This window comes from Homo sapiens, chromosome 2 (genome assembly GCF_000001405.40).
Source record: "Homo sapiens chromosome 2, GRCh38.p14 Primary Assembly".
Lineage (NCBI taxonomy): Eukaryota > Metazoa > Chordata > Mammalia > Primates > Hominidae > Homo > Homo sapiens.
Genome location: NC_000002.12, coordinates 98369803 through 98394178, shown reverse-complemented (window position 1 = coordinate 98394178; position 24376 = coordinate 98369803). Strand labels below are relative to the sequence as shown.

At 50.2% G+C, this 24376-nt stretch overlaps 1 protein-coding gene across 5 annotated transcripts in view, besides 6 other annotated features; it reads right to left on the bottom strand.

The window, feature by feature from the left end:
• The window catches only part of CNGA3 (cyclic nucleotide gated channel subunit alpha 3), a 52146-nt gene that overhangs the window by 4423 nt on the left and 23347 nt on the right, over positions 1–24376 (bottom strand). For 2 of the 5 annotated variants that reach the window (XM_011510554.3, XM_047443222.1), the window contains exons 2-8: positions 24103–24240; positions 16379–16492; positions 15957–16121; positions 13825–14004; positions 10738–10791; positions 4405–4521; positions 2209–2315 (exon numbers count right to left, since the gene is read on the bottom strand). In XM_011510554.3, coding sequence (XP_011508856.1) covers positions 2209–2315; positions 4405–4521; positions 10738–10791; positions 13825–14004; positions 15957–16121; positions 16379–16492; positions 24103–24203 — 838 coding nt within the window. In that variant the 5' untranslated portion in view covers positions 24204–24240. The remainder of the gene's footprint in view (positions 1–2208; positions 2316–4404; positions 4522–10737; positions 10792–13824; positions 14005–15956; positions 16122–16378; positions 16493–24102; positions 24241–24376) is intronic. The other 3 variants (XM_006712243.3, NM_001298.3, NM_001079878.2) reach the window with 3 other exon arrangements.
• Positions 5894–6081: a silencer, noted in NCBI's record as "fragment chr2:99004561-99004748 (GRCh37/hg19 assembly coordinates)". NCBI's record gives its function as "represses an EF-1alpha promoter that drives an FKBP-Casp9 reporter gene in an ReSE screen in HepG2 liver carcinoma cells and K562 erythroleukemia cells {active_cell/tissue: HepG2 | K562}" and the evidence as "EXISTENCE:reporter gene assay evidence [ECO:0000049][PMID:32094911]".
• Positions 9642–10217: an enhancer, noted in NCBI's record as "H3K4me1 hESC enhancer chr2:99000425-99001000 (GRCh37/hg19 assembly coordinates)". NCBI's record gives its function as "activates a minimal SCP1, AML or CMV promoter by ChIP-STARR-seq in primed H9 embryonic stem cells {active_cell/tissue: H9 hESC(primed)}" and the evidence as "EXISTENCE:reporter gene assay evidence [ECO:0000049][PMID:30033119]".
• Positions 10218–10795: an enhancer, noted in NCBI's record as "NANOG-H3K4me1 hESC enhancer chr2:98999847-99000424 (GRCh37/hg19 assembly coordinates)". NCBI's record gives its function as "activates a minimal SCP1, AML or CMV promoter by ChIP-STARR-seq in primed H9 embryonic stem cells {active_cell/tissue: H9 hESC(primed)}" and the evidence as "EXISTENCE:reporter gene assay evidence [ECO:0000049][PMID:30033119]".
• Positions 11372–11949: an enhancer, noted in NCBI's record as "H3K4me1 hESC enhancer chr2:98998693-98999270 (GRCh37/hg19 assembly coordinates)". NCBI's record gives its function as "activates a minimal SCP1, AML or CMV promoter by ChIP-STARR-seq in primed H9 embryonic stem cells {active_cell/tissue: H9 hESC(primed)}" and the evidence as "EXISTENCE:reporter gene assay evidence [ECO:0000049][PMID:30033119]".
• Positions 14939–15233: an enhancer, noted in NCBI's record as "tiled region #13649; K562 Activating DNase matched - State 20:ReprD". NCBI's record gives its function as "activates a minimal TATA promoter and a strong SV40 promoter by Sharpr-MPRA in K562 cells {active_cell/tissue: K562}" and the evidence as "EXISTENCE:reporter gene assay evidence [ECO:0000049][PMID:27701403]".
• Positions 15892–16659: an enhancer, noted in NCBI's record as "H3K4me1 hESC enhancer chr2:98993983-98994750 (GRCh37/hg19 assembly coordinates)". NCBI's record gives its function as "activates a minimal SCP1, AML or CMV promoter by ChIP-STARR-seq in primed H9 embryonic stem cells {active_cell/tissue: H9 hESC(primed)}" and the evidence as "EXISTENCE:reporter gene assay evidence [ECO:0000049][PMID:30033119]".

The following is a 24376-nucleotide window of genomic DNA, read 5'->3' as shown; positions in this document are numbered from 1 at the left end:
AATAATATAATTAGTCCTTTTAAAATTGCGGTGAGCATCAGAATTTCCCTGAGGGCTGTGCGAAACACAGAGTGCCAGCCTGCAACCCAGAGTTGGCTCCCGGAAGTTGGGGGCAAGTCTAGCAAGTTCCAGGTGATGCTAGGGCTGCGGGTCCAGGCCACCGAGGCTAGACTGGGGTAGGACGTCTCACTCTGCTCAAACTGAAAATCTAGTGTGCTGTCACAACAAAGAACACCCCACTTCACAGCCCCCAGTTCTTCTTAGCATTATTTGTTATACATGCGTTACTGAGGGCCTTGATCATTATGTAGCCTCCTGTGCCTCCAGCCTCCTCCCCACTTCTTTAAGATGTCTTCTCTCAATTCTAATGATGTTTTCCTTGGAGTGTGATTCCTGTGCCTCCCTCTCTCCCAGCTTCCTGCTGAATCTTGGTTGCTTAGGGTACTACCCAAGCACAAGAAGGTGCAGGGTTAATGACTGAGTCGGGGTGTCTCATCCCACTGAAGCTGGGCTGAGACCAGGGACCATCAGCCCAATGGGCCACTTACAGAGCTCGTGTGTCTGTGGAGTTTAACATGACTGCAGCAGCGGGGCAGGTGACCAGGGCTGGCTAGGCCACCCACGCAAGCCTCAGCCTGTGTATCTGAGGTCTTCTAAGTTATGACGCTAGGCACCAGTGTGGAAGCAAACAGAGGACCAGTCTGGTGTGGCTGGGCAGTGACTGTGGACTTTGGACAAGTCACTTGGTGTCTCTGATGTTGGTTTCTAAATCAGCAAGATGGAGGTAATCACACCTGAGCTTCTTGTCTCATGCAGTGGTTCTAATGAAGAAGCAAGACGCACTTGAAATGTATTGTACGTGGAGCCACACGGAGGTCGGCTACTGTGATCTGCTGGTGTTTACATCAACAGCTATGGCATAGCATTATTTTATCATTTTTTTTTTTTGAGACAAGGTCTTGCTCTGTAAACCGAGGCCATGACTCCCTACAGTCTTGACCTCCTGGGCTCAAGCAATCCTCTCACCTCAGCCTCCTGAGGCACACACCAACACGTCCAGCTAATTTTTTCTTTTTGTAGAGACAAGGTCTTGCTATGTTGCCCTGGCTAGTCTGGAACTCCTGCCTCAAATGACCCTTCTGTCTTGGCCTCCCAAAGTGCTGGGATTACAGGTGCCTGCACCCATGCCTGGCCTGGCACAGTTTTCAGTTCAAAAATCTTGGAAACAGGGCCTCTACCAGCTTAGGCAATGTCTTTGTGCAGATTAGAAAAAGATGTCCCAAGGGCACACAGTTCAGCACCTAAGAAATGTGAAGGGGTGAGTATCCTTTCCCATCCCCAACCACAGATGATTCGAAGGAAGTCCTCATTCACCTGGGCCCTATTTCAGATTTTCATTCTCCACATGTTAAAAGTCCTCTGAAAGCCACGGAGTAACATGTCCTGTATCTGCTGACTGTCCAAGAAGAGAAACTCCAAGATTGACTGAGCTCTCCTTCCTGCTTACCCCAGTGTCGAGTAGTGAGAGCTGGAGGGGTCCTTCGAGATTGCAGTCCGGCCTGCTTACTTCTTTTCTTTTTTTTTCTTTTCTTTTCTTTTCTTTTTTTTTTCTTTTTTTGAGACAGAATGTTGCTATGTCACCCAGGTTGGAGTGAAGTGGCATGATCTCCACTCACTGCAACCTCCACCTCCCGGGGTTCAAGCGATTCTCCTGCCTCAGCCTCTCAAGTAGCTGGGATTACAGGCACATGCCAGTGGGCCCAGCTAATTTTTGTATTTTTAGTAGAGATGGGGTTTCACCATGTTGGCCAGGCTGGTCTCGAACTCCTGACCTCCAGTAATCTGTCCACCTTGGCCTCCCAAAGTCCTAGGATTACAGATGTGAGCCACTGCACCTGGCCTGGCCTGCTTATCTCAGAGGTGACAAGAACAAGGCCCAGAGAGACAGCCTGACTTGCTCAAGGTCATACAGCTTGTTGGAAGAGCAGAGCCCAGAGCTTAGGTGTCCTGGCCCCTGCTCAGCGTCCTGTCCAAGGGTTCCGTGTAGAAGGGCTTGAGGCCGCACCACCTACCCTCACTGTCGGAGGTCCCCAGACCTGCCTGGCCTCTCATGGTCAAGGGTAGGTAATGTCCCATCCACCATGCTGGGTCTCCCGGAACACTCCCGTGGGGGCCATGGTCCCCTCCCCAGGCCTGGGGCACACTCACCTGTCCGAGCTCGTACAAGCACATCCAAGACATACAGGACATCTGCCGAGTAGTCCAGGACCAGCCACAGCATCAGGTACTCGGACTGCAGCTCATCGAAACAGGCCCTAAAGAAGCCATGTGGGAGATGGATGGCTGTGCGTGTGTTTCTGGAGCGTGGACCACCCACCTGTGGGCACGGGCTCTGTGTGGAAGACGCTGGATCATGTAATATGGGAATGGCCCTGCCTGCGGTGTCACTACCTCAGTGTAATCACCCCCGCTTCTGATGAGATGTCTCTGAGAAGCTTTTCTGTCCCACAGTCACAGAACTCCTGAGAAGAGCTGGGATTGACCCCAAAGAGCGGCCCCATTGCCTCTCAGCAGAGAGCTACAAGATCCCAGGAGGTACCGTTTTCCAGGCCACACTGGCAGAGTCAGGTAAAGGGGCTAAAGACCTGCCCTTTCTGGGGTCAAAGTTCAACAAAAATAGGAGAATTTCCGAGAGATTAACAATGGAACAGACAGTAAATATTTTCTACCTTCTCCATCTTTCTGCTGTTTCCCACACAGGCAGCACCCCCAGCTCTCCTCCTATCCTCACGGGCACAGCAGCCTGCCCCTGCCGCCCACCTGCTGCTTGCTCAGCGCCCCAAAGCCTCCTGCCCACCTGAAGGAGAACAGTGCCCAGCCCTGCCTCCCCAGAGCCCGCGTGCACCAGAGAGCAGCAGCTTGCCCAAGCACCCCATCCTGTCTGCTCGCTGGGACAGGCTCCAAGTTCTTCCAGTTTTCACCTGCCCCGCAATCCCTCCGAAGAGCAGGAGATCAGCCTATGCTCGAATAATCGAAAGCCTCTGCTTCCATGTGGATGGCATCCCTGACGTGCGGCATAATCTGGAATGCCCCAAAACTCATCAACTAGCCTCTCAGAGCAGTGGCTCTCTGTCTTGCAGGCTTGCTCAGGAGTGCCCCAAAGCCTACTGCCTACTCTCAGAAGGACAGGCAGGACTTGCCTCTGCATCCTCATTTTGCATACTGGCTCCGGAGAGCCCCAGAGGCATCGTCTCCTCTCGCATGCATCCCAGTCCCACACATCTCAGAAGAGACCTGCCTTTGCACACCTGTCCTGCACACTTGCTTGGGAAGTCCCCTAAGCCCTCCCGTGTACCCTCAGAAGACCAACAGTGTACCCTGCATTGGTGTCCTGGAGCAGGCCTGCTGGGAAGGGCCCCCAAACCCCATGCTTACCTAGAGAGAGCAGCAGGTCATCCCTCCTCCTTGTCCTGCAGCTTGCAGCCTGCAGGCTTCCTCAGAAATGCCCCAAAGTCCCCGCCAGCCCCCACAAGCAGCAGCTTGTCCTGCATCCTTGGTGGACAGCGTGCTCAGGAACGTTCCCTCTGGTGGCCCCACCCTGGAGGCCTGCTCAGAAAAGCCCAGGCCCCTGGCTTCCCCTAAGAGGAGCAGTATCTCGTCCCTGCATTCACAAACAGGTTTCCTAGGAGAGGCCCTCAATCCCTCTTCTGCTTATTAGAAGAGTAGTAGAGGCCGGGAGCAGTGGCTCACACCTGGAATCCCAGCACTTTGGGAGGCCAAGGTGGGCAGATCATTTGAGGTGAGGAGTTCAAGACCAGCCTAGCCAATATGGTGAAACACTGTCTCTACTAAAAAAAAAATACATATATATATATAAAAGCCAGGCGTGGTGGCTCATATATGTAGTCACAGCTACTCGGGTGGCTGAGGCAGGAGAATCGCTTTAACCCGGGAGGTGGAGGTTGCAGTTAGCTGAGATCGCGCCACTGAACTCCAGCCTGGGTGACAGAGTGAGACTCTGTCTCAAAAAAAAAAAGAAAAAAATAGTAGCAGCTTGCCCCTGCCTCCCTACCCTGCTGCATGTTCAGAACCACCCACTTATCCCTCCAAAGAGAAGCAACCGCCCCTGCATCCTCCTCGTACAACTCACTTGAGGGGGCCCCACAGTGCCGAAACCCTGGCTGTCCACCTGAAGCTCAATTCCCCACCCATGCTTCAGAGCACTCTGATGGTCCTCTTGGGGAACCTTCTATTTTTAAAAGGAGAAACCGAGGCACAATAACTAAGTGGTGGCCGTGAGGGGTCCAGGCCTCAGGCCTCCCGAGGGAGAGGTGGAGCTCTGGCTCCTGGGCCTGGTGCCCTGGTTTCCCCCTTTCCGCTGCACCTTCCACCCCTGTCGCTTACCTGCAAATAAGCAGATACCAGTTATAGAAGACAGGCAGGGCGATGGCGGTCAGCCAGCGGTAGTACAGGTTGCTGGACGGGTCCACCACGATCGCATCCTTCTTTTTCGTCTTCTTCCTGGAAACCCACACATACACAAACAGCGCACTGTGCTCCAAGACTGTAGCTTTGGAGGGTTTTAGAGAGCCTAGGGCAATTTCAGGCTGAAGCCCAAGATGTGGCTGTCCACAACAGGGTCCTCTTAGTCTCAAGGGAGTCACATGGGGAGTCCCTGTAGGGGAAGGCAGGCCAGGAGGTAGGGTAGACTCCAGAGGTCCTTCTCTCCCAGCTCAGTCCCAGGAGGTCACGGTCGACTATAAGGTAATGGTGATGACATTCCCATGTGCCCACGACAACATCCACACCCTTCAGGATGCTGAGAATGAAAACGCAGCATGGCAATGTCACAGAGGTCTGCTAAAGTCTGGGGAACTTCCAGAAAATTCTGATTCCCAGGGCCCACTCACCTCTTCCAGGGCTGGGCCTGGAAATATGCATTTAAGCATTGCCTGGATAGTTCTGAGGCAGCCCCTCTCTGGACAGAGTTGGGGAGCCCCACAGTATTCCCTCCAGAACCCTCTCCACCTCCCTCACTGTGTTTGTGCGGACGATGTAAAGGCTCATTTCCAAGGGCTTGCATCACACCTCTCCATCAAAAGCCTGGGAATAACCTGTCACGTGGGCCCGCACGGAATGAAATACATAGCTTAGAGTGCTTAACTTTTATTCTTAGAATTTCCCGCAGATTCAAGTTTACAGGCTGTACTGGAGACTGCCTTTTTGTTGGGTCCATGTGTCCCCTCTGCCATCCCATGCGACCCACGCTGGCCCAGGCCTGCAGAGTGCTCCTGTGCTCCATCGGAGACCCCAGTGACTTCCTGCCTTCACCTGGATGCTGCAAGTGCAAGGTCACTCACTGACCGGGCTTTGGGACGTTCCCTACAGCTCTCATCACCACTGAATTTGGGTGAAAGTTTGTGAACATTGTATCTTCCAGTGCCCCAGAGAAGCCCTCAGCCTACGTGTGGCCGGCCCACTTGTGAGGGCAAACGAAATGCTTCGGGTGGGGGGCACATGAGCAGGCTCACAGGGGCAGCCCCCGGCTGCCCACCGGAGGCTGCAGACAAGCAACTCTCTTTACTTATAAGCCCCCCTTGAGTTCCCGGAGCTTGGAGAGGATTCTTTCTGCAAGATGGGGGCTTCACATGGTCTCAGGAGGCATGGTCTGCAGCCTGCTGGGACCGACTTTTCCTCAGCTCCAAGCACCCTCTCCCCTCCAGGGCCGAAGCTAAGGCCCCCTGATAGCGTTGCTCCAAGATACCCAGCCCTGGAGCCCTGCAGGGAGGGGTCAGGCCTGCTGGGACCATGGCACCCCGTCTTTAGAGGCAGCTTCCTTCAGTACTTCCTCCTCGTGTTTTAGGTAGCTTTTCTCTCTTCTTTTTTCTCTTCGTTCTTTTCTGCCTTGCTGCTGGATGATGCCGGGGCACATTTAGCAGACTTCATATATCAAGGACATTACCAAATGGAAGGGGCAGGCTGCTGCGTCCCGGAGAGAGGGCGTGGCGTGTGGCGTCGTGGAGACGTCCTGAAGAGAGGGCGTGGCAAGGGGTGCTTCCAGCGCATTGGGATGAAATGGGGTTATTGATTTGTTATTATTATTCCTGAAGCGTGAGGTAAACCACCCCATTGAGTATACATTGAGAAATTAGTGGCTCAGTCTAATGTTCTACAATTTCTGATCTATTTTCATGAGCTCCTGGGAAGTCACAAACAGCCAGAGACTGGAGACGTTTTGAGGTAGTACGACATAGACCCAAATCCACACATTGAAGTTGGGAAAGTTACTCGGAGTTTTGGAAATCCCACGCCAGGCTCTCCGTTCTGAATGGAAGGGTGTGGCCTGTCCGCTGTTCTTGAAACCTCTCTCTGGATCAAGTGAAAACCTGGGCCTTAATGAGAAAGCCAGTGAGCAGAAGGGAAGCAACATTCGAAGAGGCGGGTCTGTGACGCATGTAGTGGCAAATACGTGTGGTCGCAGGTTCGCAAATGTGGCCGAGTTCAGACACGCCTTCGGACTTTGCTGGGCTGCGAGACGGTTCAGGCAGCGTCCGCAGGATGGTCCTGTGACTGCAGGTTTTTCTTCAACATAAGACTTCACACTGCTGCCTCTTCTTTATTGGGTGTCTTTTAAGAGCTAGGAACTCTTATAAAGTTATCTAATGAATACATGTAAATTTCTTCAAGGCAGGCAGTAATGCCCCATTGAATAGTTGAAGAAACAAAGGTTGCGGAAGGGACAACCCCTCGAGTCCCCTTCAGGCCCCTCTGATTTCTCTCTTCCACACGCTGAAGGAAGGCATGGTTGAGAGATAAATTCTGCTAATTAAACACTCATTGAAAAAGATCCATTCACAATTACCTAACACTTCCTATGGAAATAATCAAGGCTGTGTGCGATACGTGTGGAAAAATAATCACTGCCATTATTCATGACAATCAAAAAGGGAGAGCCACCGAATCACACGACCATGCAGGCTCATCCTCAACGGTGAATTCTACATGGCCACTTAAAACGCTGTTTCAGAAGAGCTAGTGACGTGGGAAAACGGTTCCTAATATTTTGCTAAGTTAAGAAGCAGACTACAAAAGAGTTTACCGTAATAGCTGGATCAGTTTTCTATTTCTGCCGGAACAAATTACTGCAAACTTATACAACATAAATGTATTATCTTGCAGATCTGTAGGTCAGAAGTCTACTGTGGATCTCACCAGACTAAAATCAAGGTGTTGACAGGGCTGCCATCCCCCAGAGTCTCTAGGCGGGGCTCTGATTCCTGCTCGTTTGGATCTTACGCAGAATCCAGCTTCTTGCGATTGTGGGGCTGAGATCCCTGTTTCCCTGCTGGCTGCACCTTTCGAGGCTGTGGCTTCCTTAGCTCAGGTCCCCTTCCTACATCTTCAAAGCCAGCAGTGATGGGTCGAGTCCCCCTCACACTGTGACTCTCTTCTTCTTCCATTTACTTTCTCTGACCCACTCTTCTGCTTTTAAGGACTCATGTGATTACAGTGGGCCCACCCTGATAATCCAGGATAACCTACCTGTATTAGTCTGTTCTCATGCTGCTAATAAAGGCATACCCGAGGGTGGGTAATTTATAAAGGAAAGAGGTTTAATGGACTCAGTTCCACATGGCTTGGGAGGCCTCGCAATCATGGTGGAAGGCAGATGAGGAGCAAAGTCACATCTTACGTGGCGGCACGCAAAGAGTCTGTGCAGGGGAACTCCCCTTTACAAAACCATCAGATCTCGTGAGACTTATTCACAGCATGGGAAAGACCCACCCCCATGATTCAATTACCTCCCACCAGATCTGTCCCGACACATGGGAATTAGAGGAGCTACAATTCAAGATGAGATTTGGGTGGGGACACAGCCAAGTCAAATCATTACCTATCTCAAGGACCTTGAATGTAATCACATTTACGAAGTTCCCTTTGCCATATGAGGTAACCTGTTTACAGGTTCTAAGGATTAGGATGGTAGACATCTTTTGGGGGAGATTGTTCTGCCTACCACACAAGTCAATATTTATTGAGCACTTACTATGTACCAGGCACTGTTCTGAGCACTTTTCACAGAGTAACACATTCAGTCTTCACTCCCACCATGTAATAAGACCCTATTACAATCCTTATTTTATAAGCCAGGAAACAGATACACAGAGAAGTTAGGTAACCAGCTTATGTGGTTTGAATCTGTGTCCCTGTCATGGTGGTGGATTTCTCATGGTTTGGCACCAATTCCTTGGTGCTTTGCTTGAGACAGTGAGTGAGTTTTCTTGAGATCTGGTTGTTTACGGCACCTACCCCACCTTCCTCCTGCTCCTGCCGTTTGAGACTCCTTGCTCCCCCTTTGCCTTCCACCATGATTGAAAGCTTCCTGAGGCCTCCCCAGAAGCAGAAGCTGCTATGCTTCCTGTATAGCTTGCAGTACCTCAAGCCAATTAAACCACTTTTCTGATAAATTACCGAGTCTCAGGCATTTCTTTCTAGCAATGTGAGAATGGACTAATACACTTGTCCAAGGTCACAAAGCTCTGAGGCAACTGAGTTGGGAAACAGATGCTCTTAACAAGTATATGTATATATAAAATATATTGTATCAATCTAAGTATTCAATATATATGCCTAGGAAGAAGTTGGAAGTATATTTGTCAACATGTTAAGTGGGGCTATCTCTGATAGTGGAATTCCATGGTTAGCATGAAGTGCAGTTTTTGTGTGTGTATGCCCCTGTGTGCTTTTCTTGTTTTCCAAGTTTTCAGCAAGAGTATTTCAATAAAGTGAATTAGAATAAAAGGTTATTAAAATCATTAAATGAAAAGAGCAAGGAAAGTTACCCCTCCTCTGTCCTCCAGGGTGATGTGAACCCTGGTCTCTTTTCAGGCACTGGAGTCTTAACGTCAAGTCACCAGCAGACGGCGCTGCCCTCAAGCTTTTTGGGTGAGCTTTGCCCTGCAGTTTACGCCGGACTCAGCTTGCCTTGTGCAAGATTTGTGGCCCTGGATTACGGGCCTTGGCCTGTCTGGGTACCAAACTGCTGAGAGCCTAGGAAAGACCCAGCACCATCGGCTGCATCCCCAAATCCACCCAGCACTGCCCCAAAAGAACCCTACACAGAACTGCAAAATGCTGCTGGTTTTGGCTGGGAACAGTTTGATGGGGGAGGGAAAAATTATTCAGGACAAATGAGACCATATGAAAATGACAGAAATGGAGTGAAGAGTCGGGGAAGGTGTTCATAAATAATTATTTTGTGTGTGTCCTCATTTTGGGATAGTTCCCAGTTTTGTCCCTTGGTCCTTGGCTTCAAAGTGGACCAGTGAAGTGAGCCCATTTATTGAAAGATTGAAGAGCCGGGTGCAGCCCACGCTATCCACCCACATCCTTGCCCACACCCCAGCCCCAGGACAAAGATGCCTAGAAACCCCCAGGACCTCTGTCCATGGTTTCAGTATCTGGAGCCGTTCCCTGCCTGAAAGACTTGATACTGCAGCTGCAAGGGTGTTTAGTGTCAGGTTTGGCTTTAAGTCAAACACATATCACTATAGCTATTGCTTTGTAGATAAAATCATCTCATTTTTCGTTATGGCTGGCATTTGGGTCTCTGGATTTGATGTCCAAATTTATGCAAACAAAAGACATGCTTCCTTCATGGAGAAAATAGAAAAAAGTTCTAGCTGAGGAACAAAGAGAGAAATAACAAGAAAAACCCTTGGCACATTTCTCTGTCTGTTGGAAGTCAAGAAATCGGCATTTCTCACTGATATAGGTATTTTTTCCCTAATCTCCAACTAAGACTTCCCCTCCTGAATAGTGCCACGCTGTCCCTAATCTGCCACCTTAGTATCTGGTGATGGAAAAAGGAATTATAGCAGGTCACCCTTTGAAGAGGCTATTCTCTGGACATATTTAAATTGCCTTTTTCCACTGCTCTGATTACGCCCCCAAAATTGGCCCAAATTGGCCTTAAAACACGGGAACTTCAGGCGAGGCGCAGTGGCTCATGCCTGTAATCCTAGCACTTTGGAGGCCGAGGCGGGTGGATCACGAGGTCAGGAGGTCGAGACCATCCTGGCTAACACGGTGAAACCCCCCCTCTCTACTAAAAATACAAAAAAACTAGCCGGGTGTGGTGGCGGGCGCCTGTAGTCCCAGCTACTCGGGAAGCTGAAGCAGGAGAATGGCGTGAACCCGGGAGGCGGAGCTTGCAACGAGTCAAGATGGCGCCACTGCACTCCAGCCTGGGTGACAGAGCAAGACTCCATCTCAAAAACAAACAAACAAACAACAATAACAACAGCAGCAAAAACAAGGGCATTTCACTGGCACTCAAGAGCCTGAGGTTGTAGAATAAGAAAATGCCTTTTCATCATTAAGGAGAATCTCCAGTGCTCTGTCAAGGAACTCCGGTTCTGCACCCTCAGATATATCGTGGTATAGAGTGCTAAAGCTTAAAGCATTTATCTGATCCAATTCCTTTGCTTTATGGATGAGAAAAATGAGAGGCGAAGAGATCAGACGACTTCCCCAAGAAGTCACACAGATCTCATCCCTCCCCGACTTCTGTCCACAGGGATGGAATTCCAACGAAGGGAACAGGATTCTAAAATATTCTACTGGTGCTCTGGGAGTGGGGAGCAGGAGCACTAAGGAGAGAGGCCAAGCTGGGGCTTCTATGGGGTGGAGGGCACCGGGCTTGGGGAGGGCTCTGCTGGGTGTGTGGGTACTTACTCCTCCTCCGTGTTGTTGCTGGTGTTAGTGTTGCATTTGGCCAGGGGCCAGGCGCTGCGGGAAGGTAGAGAGAACATCAAGGGTCTGAACTCTGTTTCCATTCCTTGGGGCCATTTCACCAGGGGATTACCATGCCCCACCCCCCAATCCCTATCCCACTGCTTCCAGCCTTTGCACTCACAGCTTGAAGAATACGGGGTGGTATTGTCAAGGCCAAAATGCTTTGTGATTAGTTACCTCGGGTAAAAGCCTTGGGGGAAGAGAGAGTGAACATGGCTAAACTGAGGCTTCTGAAGAAAAGATTCAGCCGTTTGACTCCTTCCAGCTTCCCTGCCTCAAATTCCACTCAATTTCCTTCCATTCCACCCTGGATGGGGCCACGTGCCAGGCACTAAGAGGGGCACAGAAATGGACCCTGCGTGGCCTCTGCCCTCAGTGCTTCCATGCCTCTGTGGTGGAGGAGGTCTTGCACCTTCTGCCCCAGGATGGACGCAGCCTGCAGCAGCAACAGCGACTTGCTCCCTCAGCTGCGAAGGCCTCTTCCAATTAGCAGGGCAAGTAATTGAGCATAGGTGGGATTGTTGCTGTTTTCAGTTTCTCCTCCTCTTGTCCTCTCCTATCTCCCCAAATTTTACGACTCCAGGGCCTGACACCCCTGATCTATGTGAGAATCTGGTTGAAGGTAGGGGCTGGTTTTGCACAAACTGGATATTTATTTAAAGTTGAATTTTGCAGTACTTCATGATGTTCTATAGGAAAAGGTATTATCTCTGACCGCCAGAACACATTTTCAACATGGCTGGGTTAAAAAAGCCATGCGGCCTCGCAGGGCACTGCAGACCCCTCATAGGAGACCACGGGAACTGGAGCCTGAGGCAGGCGACACCCCCACCTGACTCCCGGGGCACCTCTTCCACGATGCTTGATGTCCAGCCAAATAAATGCCATTATGATGACTTCAGCTCATCCTGCCCAAATCTCCCTCTCTCCGTCTAAGATATGGCCATAACCGCTTGTTTCTAGATTGGTTCTGCTCATCTGAAAATCTCCCAGGAACTGGAACCGCCGTGGGATTGTGAAGGAGGGAAGGTTCAGCTCCGTGGGGGATGCAGTGGCTGTGTTCACCATGCCTCTGTGCCCGTAACCCCACAAAGCCAAGCCCACACAGGAGAACTAGGACCTGTCTGTGTATATACTTGGCTTTGCAGTGGAGACTTTGCCTCCAGAAAAATTCAAAATCCTCACCCCCAGGAAGACTTGCTGATTGACCAACACTATCCGCACCATCGCATCCATCTTCCCATGCTGACCCTGCCCGCGAGTGATCCATCAGATGTCTGTGAGGTGGTCGGGGCCTGCCCTGGATATGGTCCTAGCTCAACCCTCCATTTGTCTGGTCCCATCGGGAAATGGACAGAGAGTCTAACATTCATCTCTAAGGATGTAGGAAGGTAATTTGATCAATTTAAATAAGGAAGTCTTTGCTTGCCCAAAAGGAATTAGACCAGTCTGGCTGGCTTGCTGAGAAACTTCTTTTTCCCCCCTCCCTCTTCCTCTTTCCCCACTTTGTCCTCTTTCTTATCTGCCTGCCTCCTTATCTTTCTGTCTCATGGTGTCCCTCGAGGATACTGGATGCCCAGTCCTGGGAACCTGGGACCTCCCTGCACTTGTCTGGGCCAGCGCCCAGGCCTTCCCCAGCCTCCTTCCCCCAGCCCAGGAAACCCAAGCGTTTGCAGTCCAAGCTCGTGTGAAAACTCTGGCCTTCCCATCTCAGTCAGGGATTCTCACACCTTTCCCCGGGTCTCCTAAAGCAGTCACTGGCAAGACATGGCCTTGAACTCTCATATTCCATCTTAAAAATGCCCGTGCCGTTCGCCATCCCCTGCATCATCTATGACATACAAATACCCACTGCCACTCCCCATACAAATATGGAATGAAAATGGACGTTCCCGAAAGAGCCACTGGGTTTCCCCTGAGACTTCATCACCTTCACACACCAGAAACCCTCATATGACCATTTGAGAAGCTCCAAACCTGAACCCATCTTCTCCTCATTGACATACAGATAGCTTTTTCTCTAGCAAATTATATAGGGACTGTCTGTTCTGCAGCCATCATGCTTATTTGATCCCCTTTTCCCACCCCCCAGAAAATAGGTTCTGGGTGAGAAGCCACCTGTTTGGGAGGCCGAGGGGAGGTCAGCTTCCCCTCAACGTCTTGCCTCTCCTCCCTTCCAGACAGACCTAAGTGTCCTAAAGAGACCCTCTACTGCTCAGTGACAATTGATTCAACCTGTGCTGGCCCAGGGGTCTCTCTGCAGACCACCTGCTGGGGAGACTTCTCATGAACAAGTCAGGAGGGGAGGCAGCAGCCCTGTGTCTGTGTGTAAGGGGCTACCAGTCTGATTGCAGGTTTATCTCCCAGTTAGGGTGGGGGCGAAGCAAGATGCAGAGAGGCCCCAGTTCTGCAGATTTTCCCTCCAGAAAGCAAGCACTCTCCCCACCTCGCTCTACTCTCACCATTGTCCCCTTCCCCACCTGGTATTTCTCAACCTGATCTGGGACATGGATGGCTCCCCTTGAAAATTCTGACCAACCTGTAGACTCTCTTCCCAGAAAAATGCACGCGTGCCTACACATAAACTTGTGGATACCATTTAGACACCCCCCCAAGGCTCCTGCTATAAAAGACCCTGCTTTTGAGCAAGATGGGTCATAGTGGAGTCTAGGACGGGGGTCCTTGGTGAAGAGAGATAGGTAAGGCCAGCATCCCCCGATGAGTTTCTGAGAACATGATTTCCAGGGGACCCTAACAGGACCCCTGTGTAGGATAAGGTGAGTGGTCAAATGAGGCTGGGGGCTCTGGTTCAAGGGTTTTCTCCCTCCTGCAAGGCCTCTTGGACTCCGCAGAGGCTGTTAGAGCATGTAGTGCTCCCCCAAGGGCAAACACTTTCTTCAAGGAACAGCTCATGGGGATGACGTTCCAGGCCACCTGTGCTGCATCCAAACAGGATGGAGCAAAGCACAGGCTTCCTGCCTGGCCCCAGCAGGCACCAGAGGCCCCTTCTTCTTTTCCGTTCCTTACCTTCTCCCTCTGTCTGCTGGCTCCTGGCTGCCCACATTTGCCTGGGCATTGCTTTCTTGGCTGGACACCTCCTTAAGCTCGGCTCCACGGAAACGATCAGGAAAAGAGTCCGGTCCCTGGTCCTGGTGGTGCACATGCCTGGCAGCCCACCTGCGCAGCAAGAAGATGAGGCGCGACAGCCTGGAAGGTGACACAAGCACTGAGCCAGAGGGAGAGGAAAAGCCCCCCACACCCCCAAACCCCAGTCTTTCCCTCTCTCTCTTTCTCCCTCCCTCTCTGTCTGTCTCAAGGGATGGGGCAGAAGCAATGATGACCAGCAGGGTACGGGTGCTGGGGGCCCTGTGGTCTAAGTTTGCATCTCTGCCCCATGGGGACCGTTTATCCCCTTCTCCCTCCACCCTGCAGTCAGGGGCAGGCTTCCCCGGAAAGGGACACTCTCTTTATTACCATTTGTCCTTGCAGCACTTGGACTCTGCCTAAGGCATGATCCTTCAAATGGGGGATTAGCTCACTCCTTTTGCCCAATGGAGAGCTCTTTGTTATGACTGCCAAGTGCAGGAAGAGTAAAGCAATGTGGGTTTCAAAGGATGACAACATTGAGAGCAAGGTTATTTATTTATTTATTTAGAAGTTCTTGAGATCTGATACAGCAAGGCTTAAAGGAACAGGCGTCCAGGCACAACCTGGAGTCTTTTCCCAGCTTTTATCTTATTGGTGTGTTCTTGTACAAACTAGAGTTTTCTCCCCAGGCCTGGGAGGTTCCTTTGCAACTTGCCCTGGGCCCTCTCCCGGAGCCCGGCCCTGCCTGGAGCTTGCCGTGAGCTCCAACACCTGCGACCACAGTGCCAGTCCCTAGAGCTCATCTGAGACACACGGGCCTGAGAGGGGCCTTCCCTCCACCCTGCCTGCTGTTGCTGGTGTCTCTGCCAGAGGGGAACAGTGGGGAACAGGCCCAGAGACTCCATTCTGTTTCTTGGCTTCTGGTTTCCCTGATTTGGCATCTGCAGTGCCCTCCCCTGGACGGGGTGTCCCGAGCCAGAGTCAGTACTGAACAACCTGGAACTAAGCTATGAATTGTCACATACCTTGACCCTAATCACACACTTATGACCTTAGCCTAAGGCAATACATTGACTAAGAAAATATCTCTGTAGGCAGATGCTTACAGCTGCTGCCGCAGACATATTTGGAGGTATCTGCCAAGCCCAGTCTCTCTGCCGCAGACAATTCCTGTAACCACACACTTCCTCTGCCAAGAGGGTGGAACCAAGGTCATACTCCCTCCTCCAGCCTCAGACAATGGGACTAGGACAGACAACTGACGCACAGAGAGCCACTCAGGCCTCTGAACTGAGAGCCACTCGAAGACAGGGTTGGGTGTTTCAACTCATGGTCACATGGCAAAGGCTGTTTTCAGCCTTGTGCCAGCTGATATTGGAACAGAGAGAGCCAGAATGGAGGGGACATGCAGAAAGAAGCACAAAGACCATGAAACTCCATGAGAAAATGGGAGGGGGAAGGTGACTACCTCCCCAGGTCCCCTCCTGCGAGCCCCACTGGCTCTGTTTCCCTGAGATAGCTTGTGTTGCAAGCTTACAACACACCCTGTATCAGCCCTACAGAGCTGATTTAAAGGTGTTCTCTTTCTTCCTTTATCATCAAAGAACCTTAAGACAGCTCTTTATTAGTAAAATGCAAACACTGAACATCACTTACATGCCCAGCTACAATGGACTAGTTAAATAAACAATGGTGGAGTAGCATCCTTCATAATGAAAAGCATGAAGAATAAATAGATATGTGAATTTCTTTTGTGATAATCTTAAGTAAAAAGTTTAGAACATGTGACTATGTAAGACTCTGGCATTGGAAAAAACCACGTGGTGGAAGGAAATAATGAGCCTGGTGTTTGTTGAGCACCTGCCGTGAGTCGGTGCTTGGCTCTGAAGCAGCTTTCAAGCCACCTGTGGGGTAGGCACTGTTAGATGCATTTCTAGATGAGATTTGAAAAGGTGAAATGACTTCCTCAGGATGGAGCAGCTGTTGAAGCTGGAGTACGGATGTCATCAGGGGGAAGCAGAGCTTGGAGTCTCACTAATCTTGCAAACAAATGCTTTTGCAAGGACACCTACCTGCCCTGGGGTCCAGACGAGCACCCGGGAGACCCTGCCAGAGCCATTTCAGACTCATCACCACCATCCTCAGCACACCACTGTGTCCACCCAATCAAAGGTCTCCCACGGCTGGCTGCTCTTACCACCTTCTCCGGTTGGCTTTTTTTCTGAATTCTTCCAAACCTGAGCAAGTACCTCAATGTCAGCTTTTATTAAGCAATTTCAGATAAAGGCAGTTTTCCTTAGACTTTTCTGAGCTCAGAACATCTGACCCAAGAGGAAATTACTCACTGATAGTTTTCAGGCTGCTCTGCTCCTGACCCTTTCTTTTCCAAATCTTCAACTCCACCCCCATCTAGCACTTTTTCCTGAGAGGTCACTACCTTCTTTCTGCAACAGTGTCCCCCAGGCCAAGGTAGGGACTGAGGCTGGTCAGTTACCTGGCGATCCCCTGGCCGGTGAAGGAGCCCTGCCCGGAGTCAGCCAGTCCTCTGGTCTCCATGGCGATCCCCGGCTGCAGCACTGACGATGTCTCCTCACTTGACGAGTGGGCTCTAGGAAATCAGATATGCAGCAAGCAGAATTGATTTCAAGCCCATCTACCTCCTGGACACAGCCAGGAGTGAGACAGTCAGATGTTCTGCTTAGCAGGGAAAGCCACCCTCACAGATCCTCATCCCAGGGGCTCCCCACTTCCCTTTGCCTCCTGCAGATAGATTCTGGATTTTGGTATAAACGTGGCCTTTCCTTTACAGCAAGGAAGGTAGCTACTGTCCAGGGCTAGGTGAAAGGACGGGAAGGTGGCAGTACATGCTGGCCTGGCCCTCATCAAAGCACTGGGTGGGGAGAGGTCCCGGGGCTTGCCATTTCAAGCCAAAGCAGCTGCTTCCATAAAATGACTCCAGAACGAGGATTTTGGTTCCAACACTTCTCGCCTACTGAATTTCATCTTCTGAGGCTAGATTGAATACCCGCTCCTTAGGGGTCTTTCTGAGCCTCCCTTCCCACTGCGTGTGCTGCAGCCACACTGCCTGGGCAGCTGTTTGTGGGCTTGTCTGGCAGGCTTCCTGGGAACCCGCTGGTTAACACGGAGGCCCTGGAATATTGCACAGAACTGGCCTAGCTCTCCACATGCAGTTCAAATAATTTGTACAGTGCTTTCAAATGAGACTCCACTTCCCCTCGTCCCTTTTGCCAAACTCTAGGCTCTCTCTCCTGCAAGGCAGAGGTAAGGTGTGGTGACTCCCCTTGTGCAACCCATTGTGGAAAGTGTGACCCCAGAAAGGACAGGTGCCCGTAACTCCATACAACCACCAGTCACACCAGCAGAGTCTGGTTGAATTGCCTGGAATAAGACTAGGAATGCGTCTGGGAATATTTTCCTTTCTTTTAAACCTCCTGGGGCTGAAGTTTGATCAGCCTGATTAAAAGCCAGCCAGGCATTAGCCTCTAGGGATTTGCACTTCAGTCTATGAGTCTTGAGGAGCCCAGGCAAGACAAATTAATTCTATCACATGACCTGTTCCAACCCAATTAGCCTTCTTAACAAGGAGGCAAGAATTAATACCAGGGAAAAGCTTCAGTCTCTCCCTGGTGATTGATTAGAAGTCAGAGTCCTTGCATCACGGTGGCCAGGCTGCTGCTTGCTTCTCCTCTTCTACAGATTCCTCCCTGCCTTTTCCAGCAACAGGGAGCTCACTCCCATGCCCCGGTCTGCCTGGGCTGTCTCTTGACTGCGCCACCTGCCCACAGATTCTTCCCTCTCTCAGCCTCCCCACATTGAGGCTGTTTTCTGCTGGAACCACCGGGAGTCAGGTAGCTTCGTCTTCTACCTTCCATGACCAGGACCTGTGTGACTTCTGGGTTTCCAGGCCAGAACCCCCAGCTCACCCAGCAATTCCTCCTTGGGGTCAAGTCTCTTCCTTGTCATGGTCCTTCTCCTGTGAGCAAGTTCCTGGGGTCTTGCTTGACTGGGCAGACTCTGGGAAGACTTTATTGCTTTGTGTGTTTCTGGTGGTTTTTGATGGTCACCAGCTACAGTCAGCGAAAACCCAAAGCAGTCCTGTAACACAGGCTGCTGCCAGCCAGAGGACCCCGGCTTGTGTATGCGCAATTGATTTTTTTTGGAATTAAGTATTGGACCTTCCCACTGATCTGAGTAACTCGATGTTTTGGAAGCATTGGTATGCAGAGAACACACTCACCTTTCCTCCCAACACCATCCTACTCACAAACAAAATACACAAACCACATGCCATTCAGTGGCTCTTTTCTGTATGCCAGCCACATACATTTTATCATTTCATCCACACAACAACCCTGTAAGAGAGGAAATGGGAGTTCAGAAAGGTTAAGCAACTTCACCGAGATCCCATAGCCAGGTGGTACAGCCGAGATTCCAATGTTATTCCATCCCATTTCAAAACTTGCTGTCATCCACTCCATGAAGCTGCCCTGTATTTTCATATATGGCACAGATGAAAAGGAAATTAATAGGATGGCTGAGGACTGAGCCCTGTGGCATGCCACTAGAGACATTGCTGTAATCCATATGGCTGTACCATAGGCATGGCTCTTTATTTTCAAACCACCTGATTGAATTCTCCCCTTATACTCATAAGAAACCCACTCTCATCTCATTTGTGTACACATAAAAGACCCTGTCAGAGACCCTGCTGCAGTCCAGAAGCTACAATTCCCTTGCCCGCTTCATATTCTGTATACTATAAAGGCAGGATGCATGTTCCAATGCACCTAGGTTGGTTGCAGGAGGAGGTGGCAGAGGTCCTTGGATTCGAGAAGCTGGCATGGGGGTGGTGGTGATGGCAGCTGACAGCTGGGCGGGGGCCCTGTCACAGCCTGTGTGCCTGGAAGATCTGGAGGCAATCCCAAGGATGGAGGTGTTCTGCCGCCACCAGCAGCTCCTCAGGGAGCTCTAGGCACCAAGCAGTCGGCCCAGCGTTTTAGCGTAGTCTGGTTCCTGCTAATTGCATGAGGGCACATCCTGAGACCAGATTTATTTGCATTCGCGGCAAATGAATTAGATAACATCAGAGCTGGTGAGTGGGTGAGGAAGGCAAAACCCACCCAGGATTGCAAAGCAGGCCTGCAACCAGCAGCAGCGAGAGCTGTTGCATATGGGCGGGATCTATGATGCCCACTCAGGGGGAGGAGGCAGAGTGGAAAGGTGGCAGGTCCTGGTTTGAGTCCCTGCTCCAGCACCTGCAGGCTGAGTATTCTGTGGGCTGGTCACTTACCCTCTCTGGGCTTAAGTTTCCTGATCTTCACAAAGCAAATAAAGCAAAAGTTGGCAATTTCATGTGGATTTCAGTTACCAGAAAGGCACAACTGGCCGTGAAGAACAGGGAGATCCTTACATGATGCAAGTTCCAGGGGCCTGATGGGGGGGCCCATTTTTTCCCTATGCGTTGCCCCACTTCCTTCTCAATGCCTGAAATTCCATTAGATCAATGTCTTTCTTTTAGCTCCAGAGCTTTACCCATATTAAATGCCTGGGGGTGTTTACATAGTAAACTTCATTAATTACTTCTCCCAGAAACTGATTTTACCAGGCAGATGGAGGGGAGGTGGGAAGAGAGGAGAGGAACTGATGTCTGAGGTGACATTTGGAGTCCCCAAGGACACACAGGTACCGAAAAAAAGGAGATGCTTTTGGCGACTAATGCAGGAATGGAAAATGAGAGTCGTGGGGCCAGGCTCTGTTCTGCCTGTGGCTGGTGGAAGGGCCTGGGGCAATGGCTTTACAGGACCTCAGTCTCTGTAAAATGAACAGACCAGGCCAGGACAACCCTGGAGCTTCCCTCCCACGTGTGGGCTGCTATTCTAAGATCCCATGTGGGGTCGATGCCTTCCAAGGAAGAGGCCCCCCTGATGTTGGTAGTTGGCAAGAACAAGAACAACTAGTAGAATGGAGAGACTGCTTTGAAAGACAACATAATTTTCACCTTGTAATGCTCAAGTTCTACGTTTATTTGCACAGAGGAATTAACGTTGGTAAGGTGAAGGTTTCTTGTGACTGGGCGAGGACAGGGGCTCCCATGAGAACTGGAACTGGAAATTAACTTTGCACTTGGTGAAGCATCTGATGTTTTCCAGCAAGATAGTTTTGGGGACATGAGAGTAAACAGAGGTGACCTTTCAGCACAAGGCTGGGGAATACGACACTTTAATTTCCTCTTCTTAAGCCCTGAGGAACTTGAATGATTGGAACCCACTGCTATTGGCCACATGTGGTGGGGGACTGAAGCCAATGCATTTTTAAGCCTTTGGTCCTGGAGAAGTGGGATGAAAATGGTTTTCTTTGGTGGTAATTGCTTTGGGCTCTGCTCAGGGAGTAACACAAGAAGACCACTCTTCTGTCAGACACAAACCCCCGTGCCCCAAAGCTCATTCAAAATTGCTACGCCAGGAGATGGATCTGGGATTTAAGTTGCCCTCAGTCCTAGCTGCAATTCTCTGCAGCAGAGAATAGCCTGTTTCTATTGCCTTATCCTCACAGATATGCCAGACAGTTCTTAAATAATTGAGCCAACTAAAAAGATCTAAGTAGAAATGAAAACTCAGACTTATTTTTGGTATTTTCAGGGTGTAAAATGTTTTCATTCAAATGAAATGTTTTCATTCTTCCCTATGACTTTCCACTATAAAAATAATTCCAATAACTTAAAAACTGGCCCTCCAATTTGGTGAAAAGACCTTGGGGCAGGGAAGTCTCAGGGGACAGAGACTTGGCTATGCCTTCCTCTTGGGGGCACTCAGCGAGGGGCCATACCCACACGCAGGTTTCCAGTGCAGGCTTCTTGATATCACTGAAGATAAAGAGCGATTAACGTTCGTGTACCCCAATTCTCAATCATTTGTCTCATAAAGCTTTCTAAAAGGACTGGAATTTCAAGACAAAGAGGTGTGACTTGTCCAAACACTATTTCTCCTGGCTCCAAAATAGTGATTTGAAACTTAAAAATTTTTGCGTGGTATGTGCCTGAGTCCTTTGTTCAAATCAGTCTCACATAGAGACCTCATCGGTGGATAGACAGATGCTGGGCTGGGCTGGGAAGCAGGGGAGGGGCTGGGCCCAGCCTCCATCCCTGAGGCTGCTGTACCCCATCCTGAGTACACACTGTCATTCCTTGGTGACTCCAAGGAACATTCTGAAAATTTCTGGCTGTTAAAGCCAGTCTCGCCTCTGTAAGATAAAGCATAGCTCTTTCATAAAGGAAGCACTCTTTCTGTCTCTCATTTTGAAATCTCAGTGGTGTTTCCACGGGATACTGTATTAATCTGTCAATTTACCATGTGAAGGGTGGGGCCGAGACCTGAGTGGAGTTCAGTAAGCCTCGGCTGGTGGTCAGGCTGAAACAGCAGGGCTTGGACACAGGCAGGAAATGCGGCTATCTGAGGTCAAGGAGAAGAGACCAGAGAAGGGCCACAGGAAGAAGTAATCATTTCCAAGACCGGGAGTGGGAGTCAATTGAGCACTTAACCACATAGCAGGGACTGTGCCAGGACCTCTGCATTCACATCTGCAGTAACCTCACCACAACCCTAGGAGGGCAATATTAGTACTGATTCATTTTGCAGATGAGAAAACTGAGGCTTGGAGCCACTGAGCAACTTTTCATAGCAGGTCAGTTGCAGAGCCAGTGTCCAATCCCAGGCAGTCTGACCCCAAGCTTGTGCTGTTAAACCATCATTCTGGTCACAGAAAGTGCAAAGGAAGGAGAAGGGAGGACCTTTTCTCACCCATGCAGACGACAAATAGCATTATCTCAAGACGTCAGTTCAGAGCCCCTGACCATGTGGCTGATCCCTAGAGGTGCTGTGACCCTTGTCAGTGTGCATTCCAGAGTGAGCCTGCAGAGAGTCTGCCAGAAGCCAGAGGCCAGTGGCTGCTATTAGCATGGCTTAACAAGCTAGCAATTCATTTTGCAAATGGTCATCTTCTAAGAGGCCTTGCAAGCTTCAACAGGATACAGGTCAAGCTGGGCTTGGAGGTCACTGGCCAAAGCAGAACCAGGGTGAGTCAGCAGGACCACGGTGCTGTCAAGTCAGGCAGACATTGTGGGCAGGAGCCGCAGCAGCCTGCAGACCAGGACTGCCTTCTTCTGGGTGCCTACTCCAGTGGGTATCTCACCGGAAGGAGCCGGACTGAGATCCCACTACTGCCTTCTCTGCCTTTAGGGAATCTGGAAGCTCCATGACATGCTTGGGTCATGCCCCACTCCAGGCAAGTTGGGTGCAAAGAGGAAAAGTTCCATTCTGCTTCAAAATCTTCCTGATCCTGACAGCCTCTGGTCCTTCTCCCAAGGTCTTGGGCCCAGGATCCCAGGATCGTGATGTTATGCTGTGCCTCATTCTTGGGCTCCTTCTCCCTGATGCCCGACCCTCTCTTTGAAACCCCCTTCAAGGGGCTTTATTAGCTCACACATGGGAAATAAACTATTAAAACATACAGACGTTTCAAGGTCCTAATAGTGTTCTTTGTTCTTTTAAATAAGGAGCAATGCCTTAACTTAGAGGACTAAGTCTCCAGTGGTGCGACGCAGGCATTGACAAAGGGCTAGTTAGGAGAAAGGTATTTGAGTAGGATGGAACTTTCTGATGCCTCTGAAGCCATATCACACTTCCTGGGGCCCCAGCACCGAGTTAAAATGGTTGGAGGAAATAAATATCTGTTGGGATGCTCTGGGATCTTCCTTCCATTGCCGAAATCTCAGAAGGTGGGGTTCAAGGGCTGTGTGGGTTTGCCATAATGGGGACTCAATCTCTTTGAAAATTATTGACCATCACTTATTAGCAGAGTTTGCTGAGGAGCTGGGACCAAGAGTGTAGACAGAGAAACAACCAAATGTGCCTTTGGGAGAGGAAGTGATGAACACAAATGAATGAGAAGAAATGAGGCACGAGGGCCCAGTGCAGGGAGGTGGGGACTGAGGGATGTTACTGCATTTTGGGGCCATCAGACAGTGTGCATTTAAGCTGCATAGTGGGGAGAAGTTTTCAATTCTATATATATAGGGCAAAAATAACAGAAACATTGGAAAGAAAGTTGCTCATGCTTCAACTCAATCATCTCATTAATCATTTAACAAACATGGCTGGGTGCAGTGGCTCACACCTGTAATCCCAGCACTTTGGGAGGCTGAGGCAGGTGGATCACCTGAGGTCAGGAGTTCGAGACCAACATGGCCAACATGGCAAAACCCTGTCTCTACTAAAAATACAAAAATTAGCAGGGTGTGATGGTGGGTGCCTGTAATTCCAGCTACTAGAGAGGCTGAGGCAGGAGAATCACTTGAACCCAGTGAGCCGAGATTGCACTAATTGCACTACTGCACTCCAGTCTGGGTGACAGGGTGGGACTCTGTCACGAAAAACAAAAAGGAAAAAACTAAAAACAAAGAAACATAAGGGTTTAGCTCTATGTACAGTAAATAGGTCCCTTCGGGTGTCCTCACTATTATACCAGGAGCTTGGAAAAAATGCTGTTTCATTGTGAAGAAATTGAGGCATGGAGTGGTTAAATGCGTTTTCCCAGGTCTACTAGTAAGTTAGGAAGAGGGTTAGAAGTAGAGCTTAAGGCTCCAGATTTCCATTTCCTACCTGTGTCAGGATGTCATTGATGGGGTTGATGGCTTGGCTGACAAGGGGCACTGCCCACTCCCTATACAGGCCCTGGGCATGGCCTGCCTCCAGATCTTCCCCTGGAAGCGAGGGCAGGGCATCTGATTCATGCTACATCTTTGGTGCCCAGCTCAGACTGCAAACCCAGTTCAGTGGCTGGTGCACAGCAAGAGTCCAACACATTTTTGATGAATACATGGGAGAGTGTGTCAGTTTGAGGAAGTTCTTACAGTAAAATTTAGTCTGCTGCATTTGAGTCTTCATTTTCTTACCTTATAGCAATTAAGTGACTATTTAAGCCTGCTTTTCCACATCTCTAAAACAAGAATACAGACTACTTTCTGGGGGTTGTGAGGATTAAGTGAGATGAAAAATGAAGTTGGCAGTGCTGTGAATACCTCCCCTGCCCTCTGACCTGTGGCTGGCCAACGTGAAGGCATTCTTCCCCCACAGTCTAGATCAGCTGTGGAAATGACCAGAGCCAGGCATAAAATGAAAAGCCCATCTTAGCCCATCTTACCTGCTGAGGCCATTTTCAGCGCGATTGAGATCTCGGTCTGAGGTCTTTACCTTGAGGTGGGTCCTGGAGGGGTGGGAGTATTGGGTGTTGATCTTGGCCATCTTCTCGGTTTGTCACATTTAGCCCCCCAGATGATTGCTAAAATGTGAACACAAAGCAGACACGTCATCAGGACAGGAAAGTAACTGCAAACCCAGCTCATCAAGGGCAAGGGCTACCGCACGCGGCCCCCCTGCAAGCCCTGGCAGGCACACCCTCTGCTGTCTCTTGTAGT